This window comes from Homo sapiens, chromosome 11 (assembly GCF_000001405.40).
Source record: "Homo sapiens chromosome 11, GRCh38.p14 Primary Assembly".
NCBI lineage: Eukaryota > Metazoa > Chordata > Mammalia > Primates > Hominidae > Homo > Homo sapiens.
This window is the reverse complement of record NC_000011.10, coordinates 46779225-46796340: the sequence shown is the minus strand read 5'-3', so window position 1 is coordinate 46796340 and position 17116 is coordinate 46779225. Positions and strand designations below refer to the sequence as shown.

Below are 17116 nucleotides of genomic sequence, written 5' to 3'. Positions count from 1 at the left end.
TCCATAAACAATGTGGTCATTTTAAGTTTATTACAATTCTAATTTGTAAAGAAATAAAATGTAAGATTAATATCTTACGTATGTCTATCTACTGCCAAAAAAGTGTAGATAATTTATCTTTTTTGTTGAAAGGGAAATTTTTTCTCTGAAAATTTTTTTTTTTTTTTTTTTTTTTTGGCAATGAATCTCACTCTGTCACCCAGGCTGGAGTGCAGTGGCACAATCTCAGCTTACTGCAACCTCTGCCTTCTGAGTTCAAATGATTTTCGTGCCTCAGCCTCCCAAGTAGCTGGGATTACAGGCGCCTGCCACCACGCCCGGCTAAACTTTTTTATTTTTAGTAGAGATGGGGTTTCACCATGTTGGCCAGGCTGGTCTCAAACCTCTGACCTCAAGTGATCCACCCATCTCGGCCTTCCAAAGTGCTAGGATTATAGGTGTGAGCCACCTTGCCTGGCCATTTCTCTGAATTCTTATGTGTAGTTGTGGTTTAGAAATGTAATAACGTAGTGGTTGTGTTTCAAAGTTGGGCTTAATGATGTTCATCTCACTTTCATTCTCCAGATCAAAGAATGTTCAGAAAAGGTAGAACTGATACATGGTAAGAAAGCTGGACTAGCTGCTGATAAGAAGGAATTCAAACCTCTGCCTGGAAGGACTGCTGCTTCAGGGGCTGCAGGAGATAAGGACACAAAGGACATTTCTGCACCCAAACCAGGACCTCTAAAAAAGGCACCTGCTGCTAAGGTTAATAGATTATTTAAAAATAGAAGTTAGTAAGGAAGGGTCTGAGTCTCAGGTTCGTGGTTGTTCCTCTAAAATTATTTTGTTTGAGAAATGAATTCATTGGCCACATTAAAAATACAGCAGAAAATCTGTTAATGAAGATAGGATATTCCAGCAATAAATTCAGCTGTTTGGAGCTTTAATAGAGATAAAAATGGTGATGAAGGCACAGAAGTGTGTTTTGTCAATTTAACATAAAATTTACTATCTTAACTTTTTTTTTTTTTGAGATGGAGTCTCGCTCTGTTGCCCAGGCTGGAGTGCAGTGATGCAATCTTGGCTCACTGCAACCTCCGCCTCCCAGGTTCAAGTGATCCTCCTGCCTTAGCCCCCCAGTAGCTGGAATTACAGGCACGTGCCACCATGCCAGGCTAATTTTTGTATTTTTAGTAGAGATGGGAATTTGCCATGTTGGCCAGGTTGGTCTTGAACTCCTGACCTCAGGTGATCCACCCGCCTTGACCTCCCAAAGTGCTGAGATTACAGGCGTGAGCCACCGTGCCTGGTCTGTCTTAACTTTTTAATGTGCAGTTCATTAATATTAAGTATGTTTATAATGTTGTGCAGCATCACCACAATCCATTGCCGTAATGCTTTTCATGTTTTAACACTGAAACTCTATGAATCAATTAACTATCCTCCCATTCTCAGCTTCTTCCAGCCCCTTCTTTCTGTTTCTATGAATTTGACTACTTTGTTTTTATTTTCTATATTTTTTAGAGACAAGGTCTTGCTCTGTTGTCCAAGCTGGAGGGCAGTGGTGCGATTATAGCTCACTGCAACCTGGAACTCCCAGGCTCAAGTGATCCTCCTCACTCAGCCTCCCAAGTAGCTAGGATGACAGGGACTTGCCACCATACCCAGCTTATTTTTAAAAATTTTTTATAGAGGGCCTCGCTGTGTTGCCCAAGCTAGTCTTGAACTCCTGGCCTCAAGTGATCCTCCTGCCTTGGCCTCCCAAAGTGCTGAGGTTACAGGCATGAGCCACCAAGCCTGGCCTTGAGCATCTTTTCATGTGCAGGTGGCAATCTGTAGTTGTATAGTTCTTCTTGGAAAAAAATATCTACTCAAGTTCTTTGCCCATTTTTGAATTGGGTTGTTTTGAGGCAAGGTCTCACTCTGTTCCCCAGGCTGGAGTGCAATGGCACAATCACAGCATACCTCCCAGGCTCAAGCAATCCTCCCACCTCAGCCTTTTGAGTAGCTGGGACCAGAAGCACGTGCCACCACACACAGCTGATTTTTTATTTTTTAATATTTTTGTAGAGACGGGTTTCACTGTGTTGCCCAGGCAGGTCTCAAACTCCTAGGCTCAATGAATCCTCCTGCCTCCGCCTCCCAAATTCCTGGGATCACAAACCTGAGCCACTGCCCCCAGGCTTATGATGCTTTTGCCCTCTATTTTGTTCTAAAGATTTTATAGTTTTAGGTCTTACATTTATGTCTTTATTTTGACTTTATTTTTATATACGGTGTCCAACTTCATTCTTTTTGCATGTGGATATTCAGTTTTCCCAGCACCATTTGTTGAATAGACTGTCCTTTCCCCATTAAACCGCCTTGGTACCCTTGTCAAAAATCATTTTACTGCATATGCAAGGGAGGAGTATTTTTTTTTTGTTTTTTCTGAGGTGGAGTCTTGCACTGTCACCCAGGCTGGAGTGCAGTGGCACAATCTCGGCTCACTGCAACCTCCACCCCCTAGGTTCAAGCCTCCTCAAGCGATTCTCAGCCTCCTGAGTAGCTGGGTTTACAGGCACCTGCCACCATGCCCAGCTAATTTTTTCTATTTTTAGTAGAGATGGGGTTTTGCCGTGTTGGCCAAGCTGGTCTCGAACTCCTGACCTCAGTTGATCCGCCTGCCTCAGCCCCTCAAAGTGCTGGAATTACAGGCATGAGCCACTGCGCCCAGCCAGGAGGAGTATATTTTAAAGGATCAGAAAGTATCATTAAATAATGAAATAAAATGTGGCAACACACTTAACATTAATAACTAATAATACCAATTGGTCATTTTACTGATAATGCCGATGGATCACATCACTGAGTCTTCATGCCAGTCCAGGTGTTTACACCTTTGTACAGTGTAGAAGTGGGGCAAATGCCTAGTGGCAATTACGGCATTCTTTTAATGAGCATGTGTCCTGTGGACTCTCTTAAGAGTGAGAGTTATCTGCTGCAGATGCAAAAAGTTTAACTCTCCTTCCCCACGCCAGCCCCATCTTGAACCACTCAGCATGGAGTTAGGGGAAGAGAACTGATATTTAGTGAGCATCATTTTATGAAACACTTTGCCTTTATAATGTCATTTAATCACTGTAACAACTCTTGAGGTAGGTATTCATTATCCTTGTTTTTCCAAAAAATGAAACTAAGACTCAGGGAGTTTGTGTCCTACACATGCTCTGATATTTTTATTGTTGATTTGATTGTTTTGTTTACTGTATCCCCACACCATATTGTAAGCTTTTAAAGGATAGAGATCTTGTCACTGCTTGATCCTCCATGCATAGAATAGTTTCTGGCGTATAGTAGAAACCGGGTATCTGTTTGTGGAATGTGTAGAGTGGCAGAGCTGGGATTTACCCTGAGTACCTCTAGTTACAGACTCTACTTTCTTTCACATTATGCTGTCTCCTTGGCATTCTAGAACAGGAAATCGGCAGCTATTTTCTCCTTTCTCACTAGTTCCTGTTTCTCTGGACAATTACCTGGACCCAAAACCTTAAAAGATGTGTCCAGATTTTCTTGCTGTAACCCACTTGCCTCTTACCTCTTTAAACCCTTCCATGTTCATGCTGGCTGACCTTCTCTTATTATGAGGAATTATCTTAAAAATTAAAATGCTGGGAGCAACCTCCTTCTATTCCCATTCTGAAAAAGATAAGTAGGACAATATCAGCAGCACGTGAGCCACTGAGCCAGCTATCATGTAGAATGATAATTCTGTCTTTTTTGTTTGGTTGGTTTTGTTGTTGTTGTTGTTGTTTTTGTTTTTTTTTGAGACAGAGTCTCCTTTTATCCCCCAAGCTGGAGTGCGGTGGCACGATTTCATCTCACTGCAACCTCTGCCTCCCTGGTTCAAGTGATTCTCCTGCCTCAGCCTCCCGAGTAGCTAGGATTAAAGGCACCTGCCACCACGCCTGGCTAATTTTTGTATTTTTAGTAGAGATGAGATTTCACCATGTCGTCCAGCCTGGTCTCAAACTCCTGACCTCAAATTATCTGCCTGCCTCAGACTCCCAAAGTGCTGGAATTACAGGCATGAGCCACCATGCCCAGCCTCGATAAATCTGTCAATTAATAAATAAAAATTGATGTCTGTTAACAACAACAAAAAGAATAGTAGATTTGTTATTTGAAGTATCTCTCCATATAGAGAATGCTATTACAGAGAAAGATCCAGAAGAGGTATCCTAGTTAATCAAAGAGTACAGAATTTTCCATTTTTAGGGTTAGAATGCAAATCCTTTTATGGGGTTATTACTGTGAACCAGCAAAACCATACTGTCGATATGACATGGTAAGTATTACAGGTTTCCATTTAGTTAAAAACTAGTATCCTTAGTTTTGCTAAATACAACTTACAATATTGGAATATATTCAAGATAACATTAGTTTCAGAACAGGTCTGGATGTTGAAGACTAATTTGATCCCCTTTCATTTTATCTTTTCTTTTTAGGTTTGGGGCATTTCATAACAAATATCCAAAATAGGTACAAGGAACAATGTGAATGGTGATGTGTGTTGCCATAATACAGTTATCATTTGCTGTGTACATTGTAATATACTACTTTCTTGTGACTTTTTCCCCCGTACATATTCTGCTTTTGTATCTTGGGACTTTTGAAAACTGGAGTGGAATGAATTTATTTATTTTGAGACAGGGTCTCACTCTGCCACCCAAGCCAGAGTATAGTGACATGATCATGGCTCACTGCAGACTCAACTTCCTGGGCTCAAGCAGCCCTCCCACCTCAGCCTCCCAAGTAGCTGAGACTATAGGCATACACCAACACACCTGGCTAATTTTTTTGTATTTTTTGTAGAGATGGGGTTTTGCCATACTGCCCAGGCTGGTCTCAAACTGCTGGGCTCAAGGGATCCTTAGCCTCCCAGAGTGCTGGGATTACAGGTGTGAACTACTGTGCTCAGCTACTTGGGAAGCTGAGATGGGAGGGCTGCTTGAGATGGGAGGCTCGCTTAAGCCCAGGAGGTCAAGGCTATAGTGAGCCGTGATCAGGCCACTGCACTCCAGTCTGGATGACAGAGCAAGACCCTGTCTCAGAAAACAAAAAAAAAAAAAAACCCAAATAAATGTAAAAAAAATAAAGGTATCAGGATGTCATTCTCAAATTAATTTGTAAATGTAGTATAATTTCAGGCCATCACTTCTGTTTCATTTATCTCATTAATTCTAAATTCAAGTTTTTAATATGGGGTCTACAGATTACCCCATGGGTGGTCTTCAGGGCTTCTGTCTGACCTTGAAACTGCTAAATTTTGTAGGTACAAAAAATGTTTATTTTAGGGTAATCCCTCATTTTAATCAAATTTTTAAGGGAGTGTGTGACTCAATAAAAGTTTAAAAACCACTGTTTTAGGCCGGGTTCAGTGATACATGCTTGTAATCCCAGCACTTTGGGAGGCCAAGACAGGAGGATCTCTTGCAGCCAGGAATTCGAGACCAGCCTGGGCAACATGGCAAAATCCTGTCTCTACAAAAAAAATTTTTTTTAATTAGCCAGGCATGGTAGCACACGCCTGTGGTCCCAGCTACACAGTAGGCTGAGGTGGGAAGGAAGATCCCTTGAGCCCAGGAGGTTGAACCTGTAGCAAGCTGAGCTTGTGCAGCTGCATTCCAGGCTCGACAACAATATGAGACACTGTCTCAAAAAAAATAAAAATAAAAAACTCCACTATTTTAAATCCTTAGGTGGTTTAATTTTTATTTTTTAAATTGTTTTTAGGCTGGTGGGCCACCAAAAAAGGGGAAACCAGCTGCACCAGGAGGCGCAGGGAATACTGGAACCAAGAACAAGAAAGGACTGGAGACTAAAGAAATAGTGGAGCCTGAGCTCTCGGTCAGTATTAACACACTGAGCCTGAAAATCATGAACCCTGCAAAGTGAGACCAATGAGAAGACTGGAGTTCTTTGCTGGGTTCTACAACGTACAGTTAATTGATATTTTTTAGCTTATTGAAACTGCCTTGGACAATCTCCTTTATCAAAGTATAATAGAAGCCTCAGAAACTATAGCATACCTATGGGAGTATTCTTTTAGTTTTGGCTGGAGTATGTTTACGTTCTTGTCATCTGTTCCCTTAAGCAATTCCTAATTCTAATATGTTTTTGTATCTTACAGATAGAAGTATGTGAAGAAAAAGCTTCAGCTGTTCTTCCCCCTACCTGTATACAGCTTCTTGACAGCAGTAACTGGAAAGAAAGGCTGGCTTGTATGGAAGAGTTCCAGAAGGTAGTGCATAGGGAAGAATTGAGTGTGAAAGAAAATTAGATTATATGGAAGCAGCGAAATTGATGAATGAAGGATTTGTCCTAATTGCTGTGTTTTATAACCGGTGAACACGTTTTATGGCATTAAAGATGAGGTGGGACTTTTTATTTCTTGTAGCTGTGTAGTGTTTGCTATCTTTAAACATCAGTATTCTATGGCCTTTATAAGCTCATGACTTAATACTTAAGAAAATTAGATTCTTATTCTGAATTATAAGGCTTAGATTATTTTTTTATTTTTTGAGACGGAATCTTGCTCTGTTGCCCAGGCTGGAGTACAGTGGGGCGATCTTGGCTCACTGCAAGCTCCACCTGCTGGGTTCACGCCATTCTCCTGCCTCAGCCTCCTAAGTAGCTGGGACTACAGGCGCCCACCACCACACCCGGCTAATTTTTTGGATTTTTAGTAGAGATGGGGTTTCACCATGTTAGCCAGGATGGTCTTGATCTCCTGACCTCGTGATCCGCCCGCCTCAGCCTCCCAAAGTGCTGGGATTACAGGCATGAGCCACTGTGCCCAGCCCAGCCCAGCTTAGATTAATTTTTTAACTATGGTACTTGCTCATAAACTTCCTAGGCAAATAGGTCACTCTACTTAAACCACCCCTCATCCAGTACTTTTTCTCCCCTTTATCATCATGATTCCTTGGTAGAATGGACATTATCCATTGGTATGAAAACCTCTCAAAAACCTGTGTTGTAAAGGAGCATGGCAGTTCATTTTGGCATATACCGGGTGATTCTAATGAGGAACGGTAAGGAGAAACACTGCAAGAGCACTGTCACTTATGGCAGAAGCCGTCTAGTCCTGCGTCTGCTGCCCATTGGGTTTAGATCTGAGTTTGTGCATCTTTGATATTCGGTACTTTAGAACTTCAAATCTATTCTGCTTTGCTGTTTTTAGGAAAATCAAGGAAGAGAAAATACATATAAGCAGTTTCTGCCACACACTAGGCAAATGAAAACTATTATTTTGCATGGAGCAAACTATTTGTGAATTCCTGAAATGTGAGATAAACGTTCAGTGATACTAATTTAACAGCCATATACCAAGCATCTAGCTTAAGAAATAAAGCATTATAGACATAAAAACACAAAGAAATAAAGCATAACAGCGGAAGCTATATAAGCTCCCTCAATAACCCTCCTCAGTTCTATTCCACTCCTTTCTTCAGAGGTAACCACTTACTTGACTTTGGTATTTACTCTTCCTTTGGAAGTAACCTTTAACCCTTAAACTCTTATTCTCTTATTTTACTTCAAGGCTGTTGAGCTAATGGACCGAACTGAAATGCCATGCCAGGCATTAGTGAGGATGCTAGCCAAGAAACCTGGATGGAAAGAAACTAATTTTCAGGTATTTTAAAATGTGAGATTTGATGTCTTTTATTGAAGTAATTTACATTACATCATCCTATGGAGTAATACAGCAGAATAGTTTTCGTAATGATTTTTTTTTTTTTGAGACGGAGTTTCGCTCTTGTTGCCCAGGCTGGAGTGCAATGGCACGACCTTGGCTCACCACAACCTCCACCTCCTGGGTTCAAGCAATTCTCCTGCCTCAGCCTCCCGAGTAGCTGGGATTACAGGCACCCGCTACCATGCCCGGCTAATTTTGTATTTTTAGTAGAGACGCGGTTTCTCTATGTTGGTCAGGCTGGTCTCGAACTCCTGACCTCAGGTGATCCGCCTGCCTTGGCCTCCCAAAATGCTGGGATTACGGGCGTGAGCCACCGCGCCCAGCTTGGTAATGATTTTTAATGAACAATGGGGTGTGTGCATTTTGATTGAACACATAACTACAGTTGACTCTTGAACAATGTGGTGATTAGGGGTACTACCCCTTGTGCAGTTGAAACTTCACATATAACTCTGGACTCCCCAAGAACTTAACTACTAATAGCCTACTGTTGCCAGAAGCCCTACTGATAACATAGTCAGTTAACATATTTTGAATGGTACATGTATTGTATATTGTATTCTTACAATAAAGTAAGCTAGAGAGAAAATGTGATTAAGAAAATCCTAAGGAAGAGAAAACATATTTACTATTTATTAAGTGGCAGTGGATCATCATAAAGGTCTTCAATTCCCATCATCTTCATGTTGAATAGGCTGAAGGAGGAGAAAGAGTAAGAAAAGGGGTTTGTCTTGCTGTTTCAGGAGTGGCAGAGGCAGAAGAAAATTCATGCATAAGTGGATCTTCGCAGTTCAAACCCATGTTGTTCAAGGGTCAACTGTATAACTTTATATAATTAGGAATTTATATGTGTATAAATATGTAAATATGTATACATCCATATATAATTTGTATAATTTAGATATATACATTTTTTTCTTCTCATTTTTAGGCCTAGAAGCCTCCTTATCCAATCTTTACATATTCAAGGGAGAAATAAACAGTGAGATAGCTTTTTTATTTGATAGGATAAAAAATAAGTGCAGTCCTTAAATTGCCAGTGAAAATTTACCACATAATCAATTGTATAGCCCCATTAACTGATAATAGAGCTGAAATTTAGCAGTACCAAGTTATTAGTCTAAGGGGTGGGTATAGAGGGAAGTATAGGAAAGTGCTGCAGGAAGGAAAATGAGAAAAAGTTTCCTTCTCTTTTTCTAGATGTACATACAATAGACCTCATGCTAAACAAACTTGAAATGTATCAGGTTTATTATTGGCATCCTGCTAGTCTCTTTTTGGTTTCTCTTCTGCTGCCACCTCTTGTTTTCTGTCTAGGATGTTTAGCTCCCTCATACACTGTGTGTCCCTTACATTGTGTTACATAGCACCTTATTCGTATAGGCCAGCTCCACAAAGGCTAAATATTCTAAAAGATTCTTGAGGTGCCCTCTTCCTCTCACACCACCTTCTTTTTTTTTGAGAAAGGGCTTCACTCAGTTGTCCAGGCTGGAGTGTGGTGGTGCAAACGTGGCTCACTGCAGTGTTGACACCTTAGGCTCCAGAGATCCTCCCACTTCAGCCTCCCAAGTAGTCGGGACCACAGGCGTGCATCACTACACCTTGCTAATTTTTTTCTCAAATTCATAGACAGTATGAAGTGTAATCTCATTGTGATTTTGATTTTCAGCCACCAAAGACTCTCTCCTTGGTTAACTTAATGACCAGCTAATGACTGGAGAGATTTTCTTAAATGCCTTGAACCAATGTGATCTGTCTCCCACCCTCTGCCAAGGGGGAAGGTGTGTATGTTTGTGTGTGTGTGCGCGCTGGGTCATGCCAGAGATACTCAGGCACTTTACAGCTTTACCCTGGAATTCACTTTTTAAGCAAGGTCTTGAAGGTCAGTCAGAGATTAGGGCCCTTTTCAGTCTTTCCTGGGCATACACATAACCTTGAATATTCGCATGACCTTCTAGATTCTCAAAGTCCTCTGTGGATATCTTATTCCCTAGGTCCTTTTATGTTTTTGACCAAGCTGGGTTCCCCCAGCTGGTATTATGGACTTACACAGTTCTGATGTTAGATGTTAAACAGTTGCCACTCATTGTTTTCGTTGTTTTCAACAAAATCCCTGGGGATAGGGCTTTTCCCACTGAGCTAGCCAGAGTCCAGTCAAATAACAGGACTTTCAAATGGAGCTTTTCTAGGAAGCTGCCAGACAAGACAGTACTTTGGGTCAAAACTTTTTGAGGAGGTCCAAACCTGAGCTGTCCCCCCACCTGCCAGTGGCTGCACAGCTCTAGGTTTTCATAGTTGCCATGGTTACAAGACTTCAGGTTTTGAAGGCTACTGTGGAGCTGGAAGAAAAGGGGAGCAAGGCAAGTTAAATCACCAGAAACCTCACTGTCCTTACTAAAATTCAGCATCCTTTCTTTAAATGGTTCTTGTATGTTACAAGCCTTATTTAATTTTCAGAGTTGTGAGATAAGTTGATTTGGATAGTTTTTGCCAGTGTTCTTTGTTGCTTTTGAGGAAGATCAGTTTTTCAGAGGTATTGACTCCACAATTGCAGAAGTCCCACCCAAGATAATTACATTTCTTTGGTTTGTTTTTTGGTTTGGGAATTTTTTTTTTAATTTTTTAAATTTTTATTTTTTCACATGCCTGCTATGTCAAATTTTGGGGGTTTGAGACAAAGTCTCACTCTCTTGCCCAGGCTAGATAGTGCAGTGGTGTCAACATGTCTCTCTGCAGCTTCAGCCTCCTGGGTTCAAGTGATCCTCCCACCTCAGCCTCCCAAGTAGCTGGGACTACAGGCGAGGGCCACCATACCCAACTAATTTTTGTACTTGTTGTAGAGCTGGGGTCCCTCCATATTGACCAGGCTGGTCTTGAACTCCTGGGCTCAAGCATTCCCCTCGACTCAACCTACCAAAGTGCTGGGATTACAGGCATGAGCCAGGCGATAATTGCATTTTAAAAGAGGATGTTTGTGTGGCTGGGCACAGTGGCTCACGCCTGTAATCCCAGCACTTGGAGAGGCTGAGGTGAGATCCCACTTGAGATCCACTTGAGGTCAGGAGATCGAGACCAGCCCGGCCAACATGGTGAAACCTCATCTCTACTAAAAATACAAAAATGAGCCAAGCGTGGTGGCGGGCGCCTGTAAGTAATCCCAGCTACTTGCGAGGCTGAGGCATGAGAATCGCTTGAACCCAGGAGGCAGAGGTTGCAGTAAGCTGATATCTCACCACTGCACTCCAGCCTGGGTGACAGAACAAGATTCTGTCAAATAAATACATAAATAAATGGGAGTATTTGTCACCTAAATTAATCTGTATAATAGGATTTCTAGTGGCGTAACAAAAAAAGTTAAAATATTCACACAGTACAAAGAAAAATATTTATGAGCAAAGGGGTCCTTAATCCCATAGGTCTGCCATCACAATAATATCTTTAAATTATTTTCCACAGATCTTTTTATTCTTATACTTAAAAGCCAACAAGTTCTCTAAAATCTCTGAAGTTCTGTGTTGCATGTGTGTATAAGAGGGTTGTAGTGTTTTTGTAGGCAGCCCTAGTAGTAATTCTCAGTTATGCAGTCAGTATAGTAATTTATTGTGTATTTTAGGGTGTGTATTCAGTACTAAATGCAAATAATCATAAGAGGAGGAAAATTTAAAAATCAGATTTTTCAATTAATAAACTTTCTGTGCAATATTACTTGTTAGTATTTTGGAACACTGAGTAGCTTTTTTTCCCTCTCTTCACTGTCAGTTAAGTAATTGGTAACAATTAAAGGATACAAATTATTTTGCATATTTGTTTAAAATCCTGATTTTACTTTAGTTGTGTTTCCAGCTGTCCCTAACCATGTCATATCTGTTACATGCTGTTAATACAAGTAAATAAATAAATGTCCTTGGCTTGCTCTTAGCTTTATGATACTGATCCTTGTTCAGGTGATGCAAATGAAGCTTCATATAGTTGCTTTGATTGCCCAGAAGGGAAATTTTTCCAAAACGTCAGCTCAGGTTGTATTAGATGGCCTTGTGGACAAGATTGGAGATGTGAAATGTGGGAACAATGCAAAAGAAGCTATGACAGCAATAGCCGAAGCCTGTATGTTACCATGGACTGCTGAACAGGTTAGTGACACAGAAGTCTTATTCCTCTAGTTTTCCCAATTTTTTCCCCCAAACTTTAAGCTTACTAATTAAACATTAGTTTTTATCTTCTCAAGTAAAATCTTTTTTGATACTGCATTTTTTTTGAGATGGAGTTTCACTCTGTCGCCCAGGCTGGAATGCAATGGTGCAATCTCGGCTCACTGCAACCCTCCCGGGTTCAAGTGATTCTCCTGCTTCAGCCTCCCGCATAGCTGGGATTACAGGCACCTGCCACCACGCCTGCCTAATTTTTGAATTTTAATAGAGACAGGATTTCGCCACGTTGGCCAGGCTTGTCTCGAACTCCTGACCTCAGGTGATCTGCCTGCCTCGGCCTCCCAAAGTGCTGGGATTACAGGTGTGAGCCACCATGCCCGGCCCTTTGATACTGCATTTTTATTTTTACCTTAAAAAATACTCTATTGCCTAGTGATGAAAATTCATCTTAGTCAAAAATATTCGGTCAGACACAGAGGCTCACACCTGCAATCCCAGCACTTTGGGAGGCCGAGGCAGGAGGATGACTTGAGGCCAGGAGTTTGAGAGCAGCCTGGCCAACATGGTGAAATCCCGTCTCTACCAAAAATACAAAAATTAGCCAGGCGTGGTGGTGCACACCTGTAATGCCAGCTACTAGGGAGGCTGAGGCAGGAGAATCACTTGAACCTGGGAGACAGACGTGGCAGTGAGCCGAGATCACGCCACTGTACTCCAGCCTGGGCAACAGAGTGAGACTGTCTCAAAACAAATAAACAAAAAATTCTATAGAAGGTGAAAGCCCACGAGCTTGAGGCTGCAATGATTGATGATTGTGCCACTGTACTCCTGGGTGACAGAGCAAGACCCTGTCTCTAAAAAAAAAAAAAAAACATTATAATGCAGAGTAATTGCTGCAAAGCTATAAATAGTCCAGAATGCCTTTAGTCCTACTATCATTTCACCTCATTTTCTTGTGTAGGTTCACTCTTGTTCCTAAGGCATTCTTGCAGTTGTTTTAGCGTCAGAAAACTAGTTTAATGCACATCTGCCTTAATGTCATGCTGTATTTCTATAAGAAATACGAGATAAAACACAGATCTGCTGTTTTTCCCTTTTCAGGTTGTGTCAATGGCTTTCTCACAAAAGAATCCCAAAAATCAGTCAGAAACTCTGAATTGGCTATCAAATGCCATAAAAGAATTTGGTTTTTCTGGGTAAGTCAGAACGAAATCAAGTGGAAAATAGTTAAATGTTCTGTCAGTCTCTAAGTCGTGCTGTTTATAATAATAGCTATTGCTGTTTATTTCTGAAGAGTGAGAGCTGGATTGTCTCATTTATATAAAAGAAAATTACCTTTGTTCTCAAAGGTCTATATTGGCTTGTGTTCCTGCTTTTTGATGTTCACTGAAAGAGTTCTCTACGTTATTTTTCCTTAAGCATTAATAGCTGTCCCACAGAAAATCCAGTTCCAAGAATTTCTAGTCAAATACATTAGGAAATTTCTGTATATAATTACATTTGTTTAAAGACCTATAGTATGCCTTGGCGAATTAACTGCTGTCAGAAATCCTGCAATAGAAGAGCTTGTTTAACTTTGTTTAACCCACTGTTCCCAAACTTATTTGCTTATAGAGCACGGTTGTTTATTTAAAACAAAACTTTATACAGTTTACTTTATCCCAGGTACTTTTAAAAAGCACTTTCTAAATCATAATTCATTTGATTTAATCATCATAACAACTAAGCGAGGTATTATATTATCCCTATCTTATAGATGAGGACTAAGGCACAGAAAGTTTAAGTAATTTGGGCCCATCATAGTTAGGAAAGTGGCAAAACCAAGATTTTAATCCAGGCATTCTGGTTTGGAGAAAGAATGATGTAGCTGCTATACTATGTTACCTTTCTCTGTGCCATGCTACATTTTGCAACATGCCTGTTAATATCTTGTAAAAGGGTATTTTGAGTTCTACTGATTGAAAAAACACTACTCTAGAAGTTACTCAAATAACAAAGAACGGTTTGTTATGTTATTATCTGTGGTGTTCGCCCATAGTTGAGGGTATTGTTATAATTCCTCTTAATTGTATAGTCTTTGATATAACACACATCTCTTGGCATGTCACTTATAAAAGCCATATATTTTCCTCTTTTTTGTTATGATCTTTCATTTATTCATTTATTAAACAATTACATATTGGCCACTACAATGTTCCAATTGTTTGTTCCAGTCCTTCAGAATACATCATGAACGAAATTAAATTTCTGTTTCATGGGAGTTACATTTGAGTAAAGAAAGATAGGTAATAAACAGTTAAAAATATATATATAGAGAGAGAGAGACAGAGACAGAGAGGCAGGCAGGCCGGGCGCGGTGGCTCATGCTTGTAATCCCAGAACTTTGGGAGGCTGAGGTGTGCAGATTACCTGAGGTCAGGAGTTCGAGACCAGCCTGACCAACATGGAGAAACCCTGCTTCTACTAAAAATACAAAATTAGCTGGGTGTGGTGGTGTACGCCTGTAATCCCAGCTACTCAGGAGGCTGAGGCAGGAGAATCACTTGCACCCAGGAGGCAGAGGTTGCAGTGAGCCAAGATCATGCCATTGCTCTCCAGCCTCGGCAACAAGAACAAAACTCCATCTCAAAAAATATATATCTATTTTTTTTTACATATATATGTTTATGTAAAGCAGGATGAAGGGTTAAATGGAATAATGTGGTATAGTTTAGATGGTGTTGTTTTCTATATAGTAGTTGAAGAGTTCTTCCTGAAAAAATGACATTTGAGTAGAGACCAGGACATGAGAGAGCAAGCTGTGATAATCAGAGAGGAGCATTCTAGACCAAGGGAAGAGCAAATGCCAAAAGCTCTGTGGTAGGAGTACATGTGATGTATTTAAAATAGCAAGGAGTGTCTTTTCTTCAGAATGTAGCTGTAGGACAATGAGTGAGTGGGTAGGAAGTGGTAGGAGATAAAGCTAGAGAAAGAATAGGGGCTAGGTCATGTGGGGCCTCAACATTTTGAATAAGTTGGGAAGGCATTAGGGGCTTTTGAGAAGAGTAACAGGTTCATATTCTGACTGTTGTCAGAGAAGACAGAGAGGAGATCAAAGACAGGAAGACGAATTAGTAGGCTATTGGAATAATCCTGTCGAGAAATTCTGGTGGCTTGGACATAGATTGTAGAAGTGGAAGTGTTATAACTGATAAGATATTTAAAAAGTAGAATAGAACAAGAGAGAGACAAGTCAGGGATAACTTCAAAAAGTCAAGGATAGCCTGAATAACTGGAAGAACAATGTGGCTCTTTACTGAGGTGTAGAAGACTCTGGGAGGAACAGGTTTTGGGACTGGAGTGAGGACAATCAGGAGTTTGGTTTCAGTATATTAGATGTAGGCTGTCTTCCAGGCATACAAATGGAAATATCACAAAGGCAGCTGGATGATGTGAATCTGGAGTTCAGGAGAGAGTTCAAGATTGGATTTAGGAGTTGTAATTAAGCATAATAGGATTGTCAGCCTATAGATAGTATTTAAAGCTCACTTTAAAGTTAGTGTAGGAGGCTGGGTGTGGTAGCTCATGCCTGTAATCCCAGCACTTTGGGAGGCTGAGGCAGGCAGATCACTTGAGGTAAGGAGTGCGAGACCAGCCTGGCCAACATGGTGAAACCCTGTCTCTACTAAAAACAAACAAACAAAAAAAATTAGCTGGGCATGGTGTTACACACCTGTAATCTCAGCTACTCAGGAGGCTGAGGCATGAGAATCGCTTGAACCAGAGAGGCAGAGGTTGCAGTGAGCTATCATGTACTGTACTGTAGCCTAGGTGACAGAGCAAGACTCTGTCTCAAATAAATAAAATAAAATAAAGTTAGTGTAGGAAGAGAAAAAGTGAGAACTTTGCCAAAGGGAGCCAGTCCTAGAGTCTGGCTTTATAAAACGTTATTGAGTATTTTGAGGGTTTCATTTGTTTGCTTTTAATTCTAAATGTTTCTTCTAGGTTGAATGTCAAAGCTTTCATTAGCAATGTGAAGACAGCTCTTGCTGCAACAAACCCAGTGAGTACATAACAACATATATAGGGCAGTATTGCCATCTTTGTGGATTTAAAAAGTTATTATTGCCATCTTTGTGATTTAAAAAGTTATTTTTCTTCTGTCTGGCAGGCTGTGAGGACTGCTGCCATAACCCTGCTTGGCGTGATGTATCTGTATGTTGGTCCCTCTTTGCGAATGTTCTTTGAGGATGAGAAGCCTGCCCTCCTATCCCAGATAGATGCAGAATTTGAGAAGGTAGAATTTCCACAAATGATACAATCTGTTAGTGGACTTGAGAATCTCATTAAGACTAAACTGTTGGGTGTAGTGGTGCACGCCTGTAGTCCCAGCTACTCAGGAGCCTGAGGAAGGAGGATTGCTTAAGTGCAGATGTTTTGGGCTGTAGTGTGCTATGCCAGTTGGGTGTCCACACTAAGTTCAGCATTAGTATTGTGACCTCCCAGGAGCTGAGACCACCAGTTGCCCAAGGAGAGGTAAACTGGCCCAGATCAGAAACAGAGCAGGTCGGCCAGGTGCAGTGGTTCATGCCTGTAATTCCAGCACTTTGGGAGGCCAAGGCAGGAGGACCCCCTGAGCCCAGGAGTTTAAGACCAGCCTGGGCAACAAAATGAGACCTTCTCTACAAAAAAATAATCAAAAAATTAGCCAGGCATAGTGGCACATGCCTGTGGTCCCAGCTACACAGGAGGCCAAGGTGGGAGGATCACCTGAGCCTAGGAGGTTGAGGCTCCAGTGAGCCATGTTTGTACCACTGTACTCAAGCCTAGGCCACACAGAGAGACCTTTTCTCAAAAGAAAAAAAAAGAAAGAAAGAAACAGAGCAGGTCAAAACTCCAGTGCAGATCAGTAGTGGGATCACAACTATGAATAGCCACTGCACTCCAGCCTGGGCAACATACTGAGACTCTGTCTTTCTGGAATGAAGAATATGTATGTATTTGCTTTTATGCACAATAAAGTATCCATGGAAGAGTTCATAAGAAATTGATGATTTTGGCCGGGCTTGGTGGCTCACGCCTGTAATCCCATCACTTTGGGAGGCCAAGGCGGGCAGATCACTTGAGGTCAGGAGTTTGAGACCAGCCTGGCCAACATGGCAAAACTCCATCTCTACTAAAAATACAAAAGTCAGCCGAGTGTGGTAGCACGCCCTGGAATCCCAGCTACTTAGGAGGCTGAGGCATAAGAATCACTTCAACCCGG

General features: G+C 41.2%; 1 protein-coding gene across 2 annotated transcripts in view; it reads left to right on the top strand.

Moving 5' to 3' along the window:
- Positions 1–17116, top strand: part of CKAP5 (cytoskeleton associated protein 5) — a 103233-nt gene that overhangs the window by 49940 nt on the left and 36177 nt on the right. For both annotated transcript variants that reach the window (NM_014756.4, NM_001008938.4), the window contains exons 13-20: positions 565–747; positions 5758–5871; positions 6155–6265; positions 7568–7660; positions 11668–11853; positions 12973–13067; positions 15856–15913; positions 16022–16147. In NM_014756.4, coding sequence (NP_055571.2) covers positions 565–747; positions 5758–5871; positions 6155–6265; positions 7568–7660; positions 11668–11853; positions 12973–13067; positions 15856–15913; positions 16022–16147 — 966 coding nt within the window. The remainder of the gene's footprint in view (positions 1–564; positions 748–5757; positions 5872–6154; positions 6266–7567; positions 7661–11667; positions 11854–12972; positions 13068–15855; positions 15914–16021; positions 16148–17116) is intronic.